Source organism: Homo sapiens, chromosome 4 (assembly GCF_000001405.40).
Source record: "Homo sapiens chromosome 4, GRCh38.p14 Primary Assembly".
Lineage (NCBI taxonomy): Eukaryota > Metazoa > Chordata > Mammalia > Primates > Hominidae > Homo > Homo sapiens.
This window is the reverse complement of record NC_000004.12, coordinates 88427972-88443558: the sequence shown is the minus strand read 5'-3', so window position 1 is coordinate 88443558 and position 15587 is coordinate 88427972. Positions and strand designations below refer to the sequence as shown.

Here is a 15587-nt window from a genome sequence, read left to right as displayed (position 1 = left end):
TTCAGGCAACACTGGAGAGTGGCCTGGGCCAGTTGCCCTCAATTACCAACGAGCTACTGGGAAATGGCTGCTGAAGGACTAAAAAGAAAAGGACTCAGGACCCCACCTGAAGCAGGCGATGATGGTTAGGTGCTTACACACGGAAACCTTTCAGTCTCACCAGACAGTGGCCCTAGCAAGAGACCTGCAGTTGTCTCTGTGCTTAGAATGCTGCCTGCCAAGGGTCCCAAGTTGGAAAAGGGAAAGAAAGAGAAGGGGAGAGACAGAGAGAGTCCCATGTGGAGTTTAGTTCCAGCCCATGGCCACAAATGGAATCTCAATAGAATAAAAGAAAATAAATCCCCAAATTTAGGCTTACCTCCTGACTGGCTTGCCAAAATATGTTACTAGGTTAAGGGTTCTGATAATGAGGTGTGCAGGTTCTTGGTGTGTTGAACAAAGAATTGAGCGACATGCATGAATGGGTGGTGAAGGAGTGGATTTATTGGAGCACAAGGCAGTGAAGCAGCAAAAGTGAAAGTACATTCCACAGGGTGGGAGTGGGCTAGAGCAAGTGGCTCAAGAGCCCTGGTAGCAAAATCTTCTGGGGCTTAAGTACCCTGTAGAGGTTTCTTGATGGTTACACCCTATGTAAATGAAAGACTGACTCACAGCCAATTAGAGACTGAGGTGAATTGGCTCACAGCCAATCCAAGACTGGTGTGGTTTGACTCCTTATGCAAATGAATGTCCTGGAATGAACCAATCATTGGCCAGAGTGCAGGTCTGGCCCATGGCCAATCAGAGGCTGATGTGGTTTGATACCTTATGCAAATGAAGGTCCTGGAATGGACCAATCACAGGCCAGTGTTCAGACTCTTCAGTGCCAGGGAGTGTGTCCAAGTCATCCTTAGATCCCTATCTCTGTACCCTATTCTCCTGCCTCAGTCTTGTGTGAGATTTTGCACCCTTTGACCATCATCATCATCTCCCCATTCCCCCAATCTCTCCCTCAACTACTTCTAACCACTATTCATTAATCTCTTGTATTATTTAGGTGTAAGGAAGAACAGAAGGATCCAAGTGTGAGAAAGCCCACCCTGAGTCTCTCAGAGGTGATTATGACTGTGTGAGCATGGGTGAGACAAATCCTCTGTTGTTGTTGATGGCTACTTGAAGTGCTTCCTCCATTCTTTCCATTGTAGAATACTTAGGGAGGGAGAGAATATTATGACAAGTTATTGATGTTGGGTGATCTCTTTCACTGAAAGTTTCAGGACAGCGAAATACTATTTCCATTTTCTGTATGCCTCTTGCATGCAGCCTATCACGTCCTGTAAGGAAAACTAGAAAGGAATAAAATTTGGTTAAGATATTTCATAGAAAGAGTAAAACATAATGAAAAGGAAGAAATTAATCACTTCATTCAGTAAGTATTTATTGAATGTCCTTAGGCAGAGAGAACTGTCCTAGACCATGTTGAATGTATAAAAATCATGACATTTGGTCTTTGTCCTCAATGAGTTCATGGTGTAGTTGGGGGAAAATTATATGCATGAAAAGATAGTAGCAAGAAGGAAGTTTATTTAGCTCATCTAGGAAGAATGAGGTTAGGAGCTTAAAGGATTCAGCAGGGAGAGAAACACCAGGCTGAGTGGTCAGAGAGACTTCACAGAGGTCACACCAGGCTATTTCTCAAGACAGGATTTGGCTGAGCTTTCAAGGCAGGGGACAAAGCTCAGGAAAAAGCCACAGGTGGGAAGAAGTGAACTCATGGGGTGTACAGACAGCTGAACCACTGGGCTGAATCAAAAGTTTCCCATTAAGAGAGAAGATTAGAAAGGCAGCTTGGGCTTATAGAGAAATAGGTTGGATCTGTGGACAAGTTGGAATTGTCCTCCAGCATCCTTAGTAGCAACAAAAATATCAAGAAGAAAGATGTGTAACTCAGGAAGAGCTGACAAATGGGATGAGATGGTGAGAGAAGTCATTAAGTCTGCCCTAGAGAAACCTTAGGGTTCCCACCAAGAGAAGTTCTTATACCATGAGGCTACAGAGCTTAGTGCTCAAGAGCCTGGGCTTTGGAGTCAGCCTGATGGATTCTATTCTGGTTCCCATACTTACCAGCTGTCTGAACATGGGCAAGCTACTAAATGCTCCAAGCCTCTTTTTCCTCATGTCTGAAACGGGGAAAAAAGAATAGTACCTACCTCGTAGGGTTGCTGTTAGGAAAAAGGTAGGTAATAGATACAAAGCAGTCAGCATAGTGCATGGCACAGAATAAGCACACAGTAAATGCTGCTGCTGCTATTATTATCATCAGTTGTTGTTGCCATTATTATTTCTAAATGATATATTACTATAAAACAGATAGTTGGCATCATTCGAACATCATAGGACTTAGATAATTAGATGAAGATAGGAACATGAGATAAAAGGCTTAGGAGCCAGCTGAAGTGAGGAAAGAGGGTGCAGAAAAAGTCAGTGTAGAAAAAGTAGTAAATTAGCAAATCTCTACTTAAAAAAAAAAAGAAACAGGCTTGAGTAAGAGAAAGAATGCTGGTCTAGAAGGTAGGGAGCCTGGGTTCTCATCCTTGCTCTGCCACTAACACATGTGACCCACCTGCAAGAATGGTGATACAGAGATAGAAAATTATTTTAGGCAGATAGTGAGGGCAAAAGAGTCCTCAGCAGAACTTCCCTTCTAACAAAAAGCAGTCCAAGAAATCACTTCTTTTCTAACAAAGAGCAGCCTGGAATATCGGGCTGCAAACATAGATAAGAAGGCTGGAAGCTAGCACGGGGGAATGCCAGCAGCTCCACCAATAGAAAGGGCAACCTGGGACCAGGCATGTCCACCATGGGGGTTCCACCTCCCCCCTTTTTTAGCACATGCACAGTAAGAAAGAAGCACCATGGAGTAGCTACCCACCTGTATAATCAAAGATTGGGGTAGGGGCTGCCAGAGATTCGTGCCCTATGCGGATGGTACACCTGGTCCTAACTCGTTTTTCATGCCCTATGTAGATCAGACACCACCTCCTCACTAGCTCATCTATAAAAAACCCTGCATTTCACCACAGATCAGCAACTCATTTTTCTGGGACCCCTCTCTGTAGCAGAGAGCTATTCTCTTTTCGCCTATTAAGTTTCTGCTCTATACCTCACCCTTTGTGTGTGTCCATGTCCTTGATCTCCATGGCTGTGAGACAAAGAACCTTGGGTGTCACCCCAGACAATGAGGCCACTTCAATGGCTTCATTCTAAACAAGACTGTACCTTTTTAAAAGATACATAATTATGTGTCCATCTAGTACCACAGTACTTACAGAGGAATTTTTTCTTTTCATCCAAGGTTAGTTTGTGGAAAGCCTTCCAAAACAACTGTATAGTAGGATGTGATTTTTGGTATCCTTGCTCATACTTTGAATTCTTGAGAGAAAGAGGGAGAAAAATGATTTGAGTGGGGTGGAATATATAGAAGTTGTTCGGAAAAATTGGGGCACTTTAGGTATCACCTACCTGTTCAAACTGTTTCCAGTCATAATCAGTATTTCCAATGATTGCTGTCATTAGTTCTTCAGGGTAGAAATGTCTAAGTATCTCCTTCTCACAGACTCTATAAAATCCTCTCTGAAATTCCTCATAAACTGCTTTTACAGAGACGTTGAAAATGTAATCAATATACTTAGAAACATAGTCTCTCCTTGAGGGAAGCAAAAAAAAAAAAAAAAAAAGAAAGGAAGGAAAAGGCCAATGATTAAAAGATTTTATACTTTGTTCTTTTTACTATTTCTATTGAGAAGGAAAAGTAAATTACTTCTATATAGCACAAGAATGTTGTATTGTGACCAAAACCTGGTCAGCTAGAAGAAAGAAATTTAGAAAATATAATCAGAAGGTTTAAAACTATTTGGCTCACTTTCCTCACTGCAGTCAGGAGGATTTTTTTAAAACATGAATCTGAATATGTCATTCTCTTGCTTAAAGTCTTTCAAAGGCTTCCCATTGCCCTTGGGGTAAATTCCAAACCTCCTTAGCAGGGATCAACAGGCCTTCCCAAGCCTAGCTCCTCCCTCAATTATCTGACCTTGCCAGTCTCAGCAAGGGGCCTCTTCCCACTTCCATTTTCTTTCTTTCTTTCTTTCCTTTCCCTTCCCTTCCCTTTCCCTTTCCCTTCCCTTTTCTTTCTTTCTTCTTTCTTTCTCTTTCCTTTCTTTTTCTTTCTTTTTTTTAAGAGATGGGGTCTCCCTGTGTTGCCCAGGCTGGACTTGGACTCCTGGCCTCAAGCGAACCTCCCGCCACAGCCTCCTGAGTAGGTGAGACTGCAAGTATGCACCATGGTGCCCAGCTCCCACTTCCATTTTCACTTCTGGCCCCGTTCATAGGTCTTGTCTCTCTTTTGTAGTTAGGCCACAGAATGCAGCATTTCTTCTTTACCTGATAACTTCTACCATCCATTAGATTTCAATATAAGTAAGACTTTCTCAGGGTTGATCCTTTTGTTCCTTTGCTTGTCCCCTCTCACAACACATGTCACTTTGTGAAAATTATTCCTGCAAGGTCTGTCTTATACTACAGGATGTAATTTCTACTAAATGATTAATTTCCTGATGGCAGGGTTGCTACTGGAGGCATTTCCATCAGAGACATGATTGTCTCCCACACTTTGGGCAGCCTTTGTGGACTAGCCTATCTAAATCAACTCTTGTCTGCCTTCCCCTGTAACCATTGGTGTGCTGGTAAATATCTAACAACCAGCTCTCTGAAAAGGAGTGGGAGGGGAGGGGACACACATTTGCAGCATTGGCGAATTTCTGTGGTGTTAATATTCCCACTGTGGCTGATTTTCAGCTACTAATACTTTGATAATAAACTCTTAACATTTTTGAAAATTTAACAATCAGCTCTCACAAGCTGGTACTAGTGAGCTCCAGCATACCACCACCTGGAACTCCCTAGTTTCTTAATCAGTTTTAATTTTCTTCAGAGTGCTCATCCTTATCTGACATTATATTACATAATAATTCATTTGTGGCCAGGTGCGGTGGCTCACCCTTGTAATCCCAGTACTTTGGGAGGCTGAGGTGTGAGGACTGCCTGAGCTCAGGAATTCGAGACCAGCCTGGGCAGCATGGCAAGACTCCATCTCTATTAAAAATAATAATGATTCATTTGTGTATTGTCTTTCTGCCCCACTGGAATTTAAGCTCCAAATTTTGTCTGTCTTTTTGACTACTGTATCTCCAGCACCTAGAATAGAGTCTGGTACAGAATAGGGGCTCAAAAATATTTGCTAAATGAATAAATAGTAAAAAGAGCTACAAAGGAAATATTGAACCCTGAATTCTTTCTCCTTTTCTTTTATCTTAAAAGCTTCTTTTTTCTAAAAGATTAGGAGCTAAAACAATCACCTGAGAAGCTAAAATGCTTTTTTTTTTTTTTTTTTTTTTTGAGACACAGTCTCACTCTGTTGCCCAGGCTTGAGTGCAGTTGCGCAATCCCGGCTCACTGCAACCTCCACTTCCTGGGTTCAAGCAATCCTCAGCCTCCTTAGTAGCTGAGACTACAGGCATGTGCCACCACACCTGGCTAATTTTTGTAGTAGAGACGGGGTTTCGCCATGTTGGCCAGGTTGGCCTTGAACTCCTGACCTCAAGTGATCCACCCACCTCAGCCTCCCAAATTGCTGGGATTACAGGTGTGAACCATATTTAAAAATACATTTTAAAAGAATAGTGATACAACATTTTATGTACAGTATATTCAAAACAGATATTCTAGCTGTCAAAACTTACTTGTTGGTTTGGTCCACAGGTATGGAGATCCCATTTGGAATTAAGTCAACATCATTTTGGTCCCAGTGTATCTGTAACCAAAATGTATTCAGGTACCAAATATCAAAGTAAGTTTGAATAATCAACCACCCATAATATCTTTATTGCCAATACATTTTCCCCTATGTAACTGAAAATAACTTGGAGCTAAATAATTTTTTATGTAGTTCAGCCTTTTAAATACATGTGAAAGCAAAAAAGCCTACCCTAGTACATGTTGTACATTACTTTCATGCCTAAATTATCGTTTAGTTGTTAAATTATTTACACTAGTTGAATAATCACCATAGCTTCACTTTATTTGAGAGTATATAGACATGAGAAGAAGATAAGGGGAAAGTCTTGCGGTACAGAAATAAAATGTCTTTTAAAAAAGGGATCCCAGGGGCCAGGCACAATGGCTTATCCCTGTAATCCTAGCACTTTGGGAGGCTGAGACAGGTGGATCACTTGAGGCCAGGAGTTAGAGACCAGCCTGGCCAAGATAGCAAAAACCCATCTCTACAAAGAATACAAAAATTAGCCAGGCATGGTGTCGCATGCCCATAATCCCAGCTACTCAGGAGGCTGAGGTAGGAGAATCACTTGAACCCAGGAGGCGGAGGCTGCAGTGAACCGAGATCGCGCCATTGTACTCCAACCTGGGTGACAGAGTGAGACTCTGCCTCAATAAAAAAAAAAAGGGATCCCAAATTTAAGATACTATAATAAAAATTATTTTTTAGAAACAGATTAAAGCTAAACTATAATTTGGCTTTCATTAGTACTCACAGAAAAGCGTATGCAGAGCGCATCTCCAATGTCATCAGCAGCATCATCTAGAACTTCTTGCAAACTCCTAATGAAGATTTTGGTTTTAAAAATTATATTTATTGATCTTATAAAGTTTCACAAGTAATTTTCAATGGAAAAAGTTGTGAACAATATAGAAATGTATAAAATATAATATAAATTTCCTATCCTCCATCTTCTCATTCCCTTTCCCTAGAGTTTGCCTCTATTTACAGTTTGATTTGTTGGACCATTGTTACTACATAGACACTGCTACATCTTCATGGAAATTACAAAAATGAGCTGTTTCCTCTAGACAGTGATTCTGAATCAGGGATGACTTTGTCCCCTAGGGGTCATTCAGCAAAGTCTGGAGACATCTTTGGTTGTCACACTTGGAGGGAAGGTTGCTACTGGCATCCAGTGGGTGTGACCCCAAATGCTGCTAAACATCCCACAATGCCCAGGACAGTCTCCCACAACAAAGAATTAAACAGGCCAAAAGGTCAGTATTGCCAAGGCTGAGAACCCCTGCTCCAGCACACATCTAGCCAATATATTCTCACACTAACAGTACACGAGAAGAGAGTCCTTTCCCCCAATTTTTTGCCAACACTGTAAGAAAAACTTTTTAACAAGTGTCAATCTGTAAGTAGAAAAATGATATCTCATTTTTATTTATTCCCTCAATTACTAGTTAGGGTGAGCATATTTTCAGTTTTTTTATTAGACTTACATGCACACAAACACACACACCCTTGTATAGTCATAAATATTTATATGTGTGATGATGCACATATATATTGTGCTCTCTGAAGCAACTGTTTCCACCTGGATAAAGTCAAGAGACCAGGCCAGAACTCCTGTTTCTTCCACTTGTTAATAATTAGAGGAACACTCAGCTTTCCTCCATTTTGAAGGTTTACTCAATTATAAATCATGCTAAAATTCAAATTCCTCTCAAGAGCATACATTATTGAAATTGAAGACCATATCTGTCTCTCTGTGTGTAAGATTATTTATGCCTAAACAACTGAGACTTACTAGATACGGTCCTGAAAAAACGTTATATTTACTTACTTCCCCAACCGAGGACTGAGTTCTTTTAAATCTTCCAATGATGGCTTTTGGTCCAGAAGTTTTTTATACAGAGCCAGTGGGAAAGGAAGGTTAGCAACATTTAAATTGAATAAGGAGAGTCCACACAGCATTCCAAAGAGGAAATATCTTTTCTTCTCAGGTTTAGGCTAGAAAAGAAGAAAAAAATCCCTAAGGTATTATAAATAATTAGTAATACAAAGGGATAATTAGATTAGTAAAAAAAAATGTGGTTCCCTTTTCTGAAAGTCAAAAATTAAAAACAAAATGGGCTTCCGGAAAATAAAAATGTGAAGTTCTTCTACAGATTATAATACATTAAATTTCTTCCATAATTTTGAATACAAATTGATAGTTCAGAACATTAAATAAATGAATTCATTTTATCTGGAACGTTAAAAAATATGCTCAGACAGCTTTATATATTCAGGTTTTCACAATTTAATTTTATAGTCTTTCCCTTCAGATTCATGTAGAATAATGACACTGAGAAAGGAAGGGTGCACTTTATACATTTATTGGTCACCAGGCATATTAGATGAGCCTCGCATGAGTGGCAGCCCCTTTGGCAATGCAGCCCCACAACTTGGGTGTGCTTAGAGGGATGAGCATATGGGTCAGGGAGGGTGACTGACGCTAGGGACCAAGAAGGTAGGTAGAAGAAAGAAGGGGAAGAAGGAAAGAGGCCTGGTGAAGTTGGCATGTCTTGTCTGCACTTGTAGTCCTTGGTGAGAGAAAACACTGGCTCCATCTATCCAGGCCATGATTGCAGCACAGTAGATCAACAGCCTGAAAATTTTGGGATTCAATTCCAATGCCAACCTTACTGTTAGTGGGTGCATGACTTTGGGCCACTCACGTAATATTCTATGGTACAGTCTAGTTGCCATATTTATTTATTTAATTGTGAAAATAAATTCTAAAATTGCATTTAAATTTTGAAAGTAAGTTCTAAGTACAATACAAGTAATCGACAAAGGGGTCCCCTGAAACCTAATCAGTCTTCTTTCCCATAATTTGTAATATGTCCCTTGGTTATAGCTGATTTCATCTCTTCACTGAGCCATACACAAATCAGGGTGTTTTGTTTTGGTTTTTTTTTTTTTTTGTCTCTGTTTTTTATCCAGCAGTATAGCATAATGCTTAAGAGTAAGAGCTCTGGGATTAGACAATCCTGAACTCATATCCTGGCTTGATCACTTACTAGTTTTCTGTCATTGGCTGATTTATTTAATCTCTCTAAACCTCAGTTTCTTCATCTGTACCTCATAAGGTTGGTACCTCCTCTCCATCCCCAACCTGTGTCTCTTTAGTTCATTTCATCCCATCTCCTCTCCATCCCCAACCTGTGTCTCTTTAGTTCATTTCATCCCATTCCTTAACCTTCAACCTCAGGCCTTCGCCTCTCCATTATACTTTCAAATGCAATCACTTCAGTCCCCTCTTGATTTCTTTCTCTCCTAACCAAGAATCCCTTAAGTTTGTATAGTGCCCTAAAGCCTTCATGGTACTTTCAGATACCTTACTTTGTTTTGTTTTCACAATAGCCCTGCAAAGCAGGCAGAGCAGAAATTATGACGTCCATTTTCTAGGTGAGGAAACCGAAATCTCAGAGAGGCTAAATGACACACTCACCATCACTGAAGATTAGAACTCTAGGCTTCTGATCCCACATCAGTGCTTCCTTCCCCATCCTGTCATGCTTCTCAAAAACTATTACATATTAAGTCAGCAATCTATAACTTAGAGCCAATTGGTAAAGTTTCTGGTGTGTTGATCCTATTGCTACAACTACATCTATAGAGTTTCAGGAGGAAAGGGATTATGTCATGTAATAATTTGAATATCCCACAATATTTAATACAATGTAGGAACCTCAAGAAACATTAAATAAATGCTTGCTGATTGACCAACAAAAAATCATACCATTGGCACACCTTAGCCATTCCTATATTTTAGAGGGTCCATTTGTTCTCGAAAAGATACAAAACACCTTTCAGTATTTTTTCACATGTATTCATCTTTCTCCTCCTCCTGCCTGTCCTTTCTGCCATTTGGAAGAACAATTTGGAAGTTTATGGGAAAGGGGACTAATAAATATGCCTTAGTTCATTTTCTGTTGCTTATAACAGAATATCTGAAACCGGGTAATTTATAAAGAAAAGGAATGTATTTCTTAGAGTTCTGGAGGCTGGGAAGTCCAAGACTGAGCAGTTGTATCTGGTGAGGGCCTTCTTGCTGATGAGAACTCTGCAGAGTCCTGAGGCTGCACAGGGCATCACATGGTGAGGGGGCTGAGTGTCCTAGCTCAGGTTTCTCTTCCCCTTCTTACAAAGCCACCAGTTCCACTCCCATGATAACCCATTAATCCATTACTCATTAATCCATGAGTGGATTAATCTATTCATGAGGGCAGAACTCTCATGACCCAAGTACCTCTAAAGGACACCTTTTCAAGGCTACCACATTGGGGATTAAGTTTTAACATGAATTTCGGGGAGGGTGGGGCATTCAAACCATAACACAATAGAAGCTCAACATGTGATTCTTTTTAGAACTGTAATCTGAAAATCCAAAATCTGAAATGCTCTAAAATCGGAAACTTTTTGAGTGCCAACATGATGCCACAAGTGGGAAGTTCCACTCATAAGTATTTAATACGAACTTTGTTTCATGCACAAAATTATTTAAAATATTGTATGAAATTACAATTTCATACACAGATTAAATGATCTGTGTTACTAATACAGAAATGAAGACAAATTTTTTTGTTACTTTTCTTTTTTGAGATGGAGTCTCGCTCTGTCACCCAGGCTGGAGGGCAGTGGTGCGATCTTGGCTCACTGCAACCTCTGCCTCCCAGGTTCAAGCAGTTCTCCTGCCTCAGCCTCCCGAGTAGCTGGGACTACAGGCTCGTGCCACCACACCCGGCTAATTTTTTGTATTTTTAGTAGAGATAGGGTTTCACCATGCTAGCCAGGATGGTCTCGATTTCCTGACCTGGTGATCCGCCTGCCTCAATTTTTTTGTTACTTTAAGAAAGAAAATGTTTATACTTTAAGGACCTTTACAAAAATATAATAATTACAGACATGAATCACCTTTTTTATTTTTCTTTTTTCCTTTTTAAGCACCTTTTATTTTTGAAACAGAGTATCACTCTGTCGCCCAGGCTGGGGTGCTATGGCGCAATCTCAGCTCACTGCAACCTCTGCCTCTTAGGTTCAAGTGATTCTCCTGCCTCAGCCTCCCAAGTAGCTGGGATTACAGGCACGCACCACCACACCTGGCTAATTTTTGTATTTTTAGTAGAGACAGTGTTTCGCCAGGTTGGCCAGGCTGGCCAGGCTGGTCTCGAATTCCTGACCTCAAGTAATCCCCCCACCTCGGCCTCCCAAAGTGCTGGTATTACAGGTGTGAGCCACCGCACCTGGCCATGAATCACCTGTTTTTGTTTTTCTTTTTTTTTTTTTGAGCCGGAGTCTCAAAAAAGGGATACTGAGATTCTGCTCAGTATCCCTATGTGAAAGGCTTGGGACCAGCAGTGTTTCAGATCTCAGAGTTTTTCAGACTTGGAACATTTGCATAAACACAGTGAGATATCTTGGGGATAGGACCGAAGTCTAAACACAAAATTCATTTATATTAATAGTTCGTATACACCTTATACACATAGCCTGAAGGTAATTTCAAACAATATTTTAAATAATTTTGTGCATGAAACAAAGTTCGTATTAAATACTTATGAGTGGAATTTCCCACTTGTGGCATCATGTTGGCACTCAAAAAGTTTCCAATTTTAGAGCATTTCAGATTTTGGATTTTCAGATTACAGGATGCTCAGCATGTACTACAATTTGTTTACCTGCTCTCCTACTGATGGATATGTAGGTTATTTCCTAAATTTTGAGAAGCAGTAATCTAAAGTGTTTTAAATTAGGACAGAAATGACTGATAGAATCCTAGAGATAATTTTTCATTCTTAAAAGGTGATTCAGCTGAGCGTGGTGGCTCACACCTGTAATCCCAACACTCTGGGAGGCCAAGGCAGGTGGATCACTTGAGGTCAGGAGTTTGAGACCAGCCTGGCCAACATGGCAAAATGCCGTCTCTACTAAAAATACAAAAATTAGCCTGGTGTGACATACGCCTGTAGTCTCAGCTACTCAAGCAATCCTCCCACCTCAGTGTCTCAAAATCCTGGAATTACAGGTGTGAACCACCAGGCTGAGCCAAGCTGGACACCTTAAATATATGCAGTTTATTATTTCTCAAGTATAATTTATTAAAACCATTAAAAATGTAACGTGCATGTGAATCACCTAAGGATCTTATAAAATACATGCTCTGATTCAGTAGGTGTAGAGTAGGGCCTCAGATTCTGCTTTTCTAACAGCTCCCCAAGTGACGCCATAGCTGCTGCTCTGTGAACCATACGAGTACTACTCAAAATATGAGTAGCAAAGCTCTATATGACCTAATTTTACACCACTATCTATGGTGTTAATGTTGCAGTATATGGGGTGCCTTTTCTGTTCTGGGGGAAAAAAAAAAAAGAAAAGACTTACCTTGGCAGGAAACCACATGCAGGAACCCATTTCAGGATACATGAACATTCCATATTCTGGCTTGGTCATCTCTTCAAACATACAGTGGAAGAACTCTGAACTAACCCCTCCAGACTCAGGACAAATTTCATTAATAAATTCAACCTAAGGAAAGAGAACATAGTCCCAGATCCTGACTTAAAATACAATGTTTTGAGCTTTATGGAAGTTTTAAACCTCTAACGACCATTCTTGCAGTCTCTAGAATTATTAGAATCACATAGCCCTTACCTCCTTGCAATCTGTCTTCCCTCAGTTTGCTGCTGAGCAGTGAAGGCCATGAATCTATTTATTCTCAGATTGTTGTGTGCATCCTTTACACTGCTACATGGACCAAGTGAAGGGGGACTCTAGCAAGACTTAGCATTCACCAGTTACATTGACCAGTATCTCAAACCAAATTTTGATGTTCTTCAAACCCGTGGGCCCCTAAATTCCCTGATTATTCTATCTTGTTGTCCATCTCATCATTCAGACTTCACAACCTTGGCTGGCTCCAGTCAACAAGTATTTGGTTTCTCCTGTCTCTACTCTTATTTGGGCTTCTGCAAAACAGCCCTCCCAGTCTGCCTGGGCATGAGACCTTTGCAGGAACCAGCAGAGCAGATTGCCCATAGCTCTCAAATGAGAAATCAGCATTAACCAGTCCCTCTTTTTATTTATTTATTTATTTATTTATTTATTTATTTATTTATTTGAGATGGAGTCTCACTCTGCTGCCCAGGCTGGAGTGCAATGGCACGATCTCAGCTTACTGCAATCTCCACCTCCTGGGTTCAAGCCATTCTCCTGCCTCAGCCTCCCGAGTAGCTGAGATTACAGGCACCCACCACCGCACCCAGCTAGTTTTTGTATTTTTGGGCAGTCTGGTTTCAAACTCCTGACCTCAGCTGGTAATCCGCCCACCTTGGCCCCCACAAAGTGCTGGGATTACAGGTGTGAGCCACCGCACCTGGCCCCAGTCCCTCTTTTTAAAAGCTTTCTCTACCTTTGGACTTTATGGCTATGTACTATCTTGGTTTTCCCCCATGTCTCTTAACTATTTCTTTTCTACATCCTTTTTTGGGTAATTTACTTTTATCTTTTAATGATAAGCACCTCTAATTTTTGTTGCTTAGATTTTTGTTCTCTCTCTACTCTCTTTGCCTGGGTAATCTTATCTACTGCTGCTTCGATCAATAGACCATCATGTTTAAGGGCCTGCCCCACTTTCCCTTCTGAATATCTCAATAACAAATTAAGCCTACTTCTGATTTTCCTATTTCTGCTCATTTATACTAGCAAGTCTGTCCGTGTCAAGACTCACTCATGATGGGCCCTGACAACCTTGCCCTTGTTCAGAGTCTGTATTTTTATTTGATCTGGCTTGAAGTTTACTTTTTTTTACCCCTTGGTCATCTCTCATAAGGGGAATACTTTTCTACTGATTCCTTTACAGTTAAGATTTAAAGAAAAATAGGTATGAAGGGAGACATACAACTAGAAAGCCTGGTTTATAAAGTAGTTTTTGTTTTCCATTGGAGTCACATGCTGGGAAAATCCCTTTTTTATCTGAATCCCACTTCCCAGGTTCTGATTTCTTCTCTAACAGCCCAACTCTTCCTCTCATGGCTGACATCGAGAAAATCCACTCCCTTCTGGACAGACTCCAGCTCTTACCTACAGAGTTAGTCATTATTCTGTAGCCTCAAGAGGGCAAATAACCTGAGTTACTACACAATAAAAACCCTGTAAGCACCCACAAAGGATAAAAGGAAGGATGGCTAGCATTGAAACTCATATAGTGGAAGGTCTTTAGTGGAAGGTCTTAAGTGATGAAACTAGAGCCAACATGTAGGAAAAGTATCCCTTCCTCTAGCAGTTTGATTGCATTATAGCCCCAATTCTTCACCCCTCTGTGATCCATGTCTTTTGCATATGACTTTGCAGTTCCTCCCACTGAAGAGGCTGTGTATATTTCCCTAGCCTTTGACTTAGGTTCAGCTTTATGACTGCTTTGACTAAAGCAATGTTTGGTCTTGCTATCTTGCACCTCTGGCACTACTGTGGGAAGAACATGCTTGCTCGCCCCAGGAGGAGAATGAAAGACATAGGAAGCAGAGCTAAATTGCTCCAGCCAGGCCTAGGTCAGCCAGTCCCTAGCCAACTCCCAGACATGTACACAAACTCAGATAAAATTTGCAAAGCCACCCAGATGAGTTCAGCCTAGATCAGCAGGTCCTCCACTGAACTGCAGATCTGTAAAATAAATTATTGTCATTTTGAGCCTTTACGTTTTGGGATGTTTCATTATGCAGCATTTTTGTAGTCATCAGTAACTAATAGTTAACTCATAGCCCACTGTGCAGTTAAGCATCCTATTGCTATTCTCTGAAGGGTAAGAGGGGAATTCTGGAAACCAAAAGATTGATAACCATAGAGGCAAATGCAGGCTCTTTTCAGAGAGCATTTGTTACATCATATGAATGCATCCCTCCCACAGAAGTAAAAATGTTCAATGAGACTTTTTACTGTACCACTAATACTTTGCAGAAGTCAGTAGCTTCAGCTTGACTTAATTGACGCAGAGCATCTTTAACCAGGCGACTTCGTCTGACTCTAAGTATAAATCTGGGTGATGGAGGAAATTCATCCTTTTTTTGCAGAATTGTTTCATGCATAAGCATGTATGCTTTCTTTTCTGACATCTGGAAAAATAAATTTTTTAGTTGGCTTCTCCTTTTGACCTCATAGGAATCCCAAGGATTGTTTAATACTTCCAATAAACATTTTGTGTAGTATATACTTAATCCTGCCATTGCTATAAACATTCACATTGTAATTATTTAAGAAAACAGACAACATATCTGCCTTATGGAAGGTGGAGTGATTGTAGGACCAAAGAAACTATGGTTACCTAGGAATTGTGTACAGGAGATTAGTTAGCATGGATGAACAGCTAAGTTATTAAAAGCTATCTCAGATTATTTATTATAGTAAACATCATCCTTAAAGGCCATACTGGTATTCAACATGCTGAGACATTCATCCACCATCAGTCTTAAGACACAGAGCATTAGCATTGTAATCCTCAGGAATATAAAGACAGTATAAGAGCTCAGGGATAATGTGAGCTGTAGGAAAAAGACAGAAGACAGACTTCCTCAGAGAAGATCCACTCTTCTCTTTCCAATAACTATGATCCATCCATGGGAACTCTTTAAGAATATGCCACAGGTGGCCTCATTTTATATCTAACATTACTCCTGGTCACACTAAATAGTACTTCTTTTAGCTTTTCTGATCACCCTAAGTA

The 15587-nt window shown here is 40.5% G+C and overlaps 1 protein-coding gene and 1 long non-coding RNA gene across 31 annotated transcripts in view; one reads left to right on the top strand and one right to left on the bottom strand.

Annotated features, from left to right (window-relative positions):
- Positions 1-15587, top strand: part of LOC102723458 (uncharacterized) — a 56224-nt gene that overhangs the window by 24148 nt on the left and 16489 nt on the right. For 8 of the 26 annotated variants that reach the window (XR_001741760.2, XR_938965.3, XR_938972.3 and 5 more), the window contains exon 2: positions 1037-1094. The exons of 7 other annotated variants lie outside the window; for them this stretch is intronic. This is a non-coding gene — a long non-coding RNA (uncharacterized LOC102723458). Of the gene's footprint in view, positions 1-1010; positions 1095-5723; positions 5885-6721; positions 7093-15587 lie in introns of those variants that run through there. 11 more of the 26 variants (XR_007058186.1, XR_007058176.1, XR_007058187.1 and 8 more) reach the window with 4 other exon arrangements.
- The window catches only part of HERC6 (HECT and RLD domain containing E3 ubiquitin protein ligase family member 6), a 64246-nt gene continuing 49120 nt past the window's right edge, over positions 462-15587 (bottom strand). For all 5 annotated transcript variants that reach the window (XM_005263083.5, XM_011532053.4, NM_017912.4 and 2 more), the window contains 8 exons: positions 14809-14979; positions 12254-12397; positions 7668-7834; positions 6588-6654; positions 5778-5848; positions 3502-3685; positions 3309-3411; positions 462-1325 (listed from right to left, as the gene is read on the bottom strand). In XM_005263083.5, the coding sequence (XP_005263140.1) occupies positions 1099-1325; positions 3309-3411; positions 3502-3685; positions 5778-5848; positions 6588-6654; positions 7668-7834; positions 12254-12397; positions 14809-14979 (1134 nt within the window). In that variant the 3' untranslated portion in view covers positions 462-1098. The remainder of the gene's footprint in view (positions 1326-3308; positions 3412-3501; positions 3686-5777; positions 5849-6587; positions 6655-7667; positions 7835-12253; positions 12398-14808; positions 14980-15587) is intronic.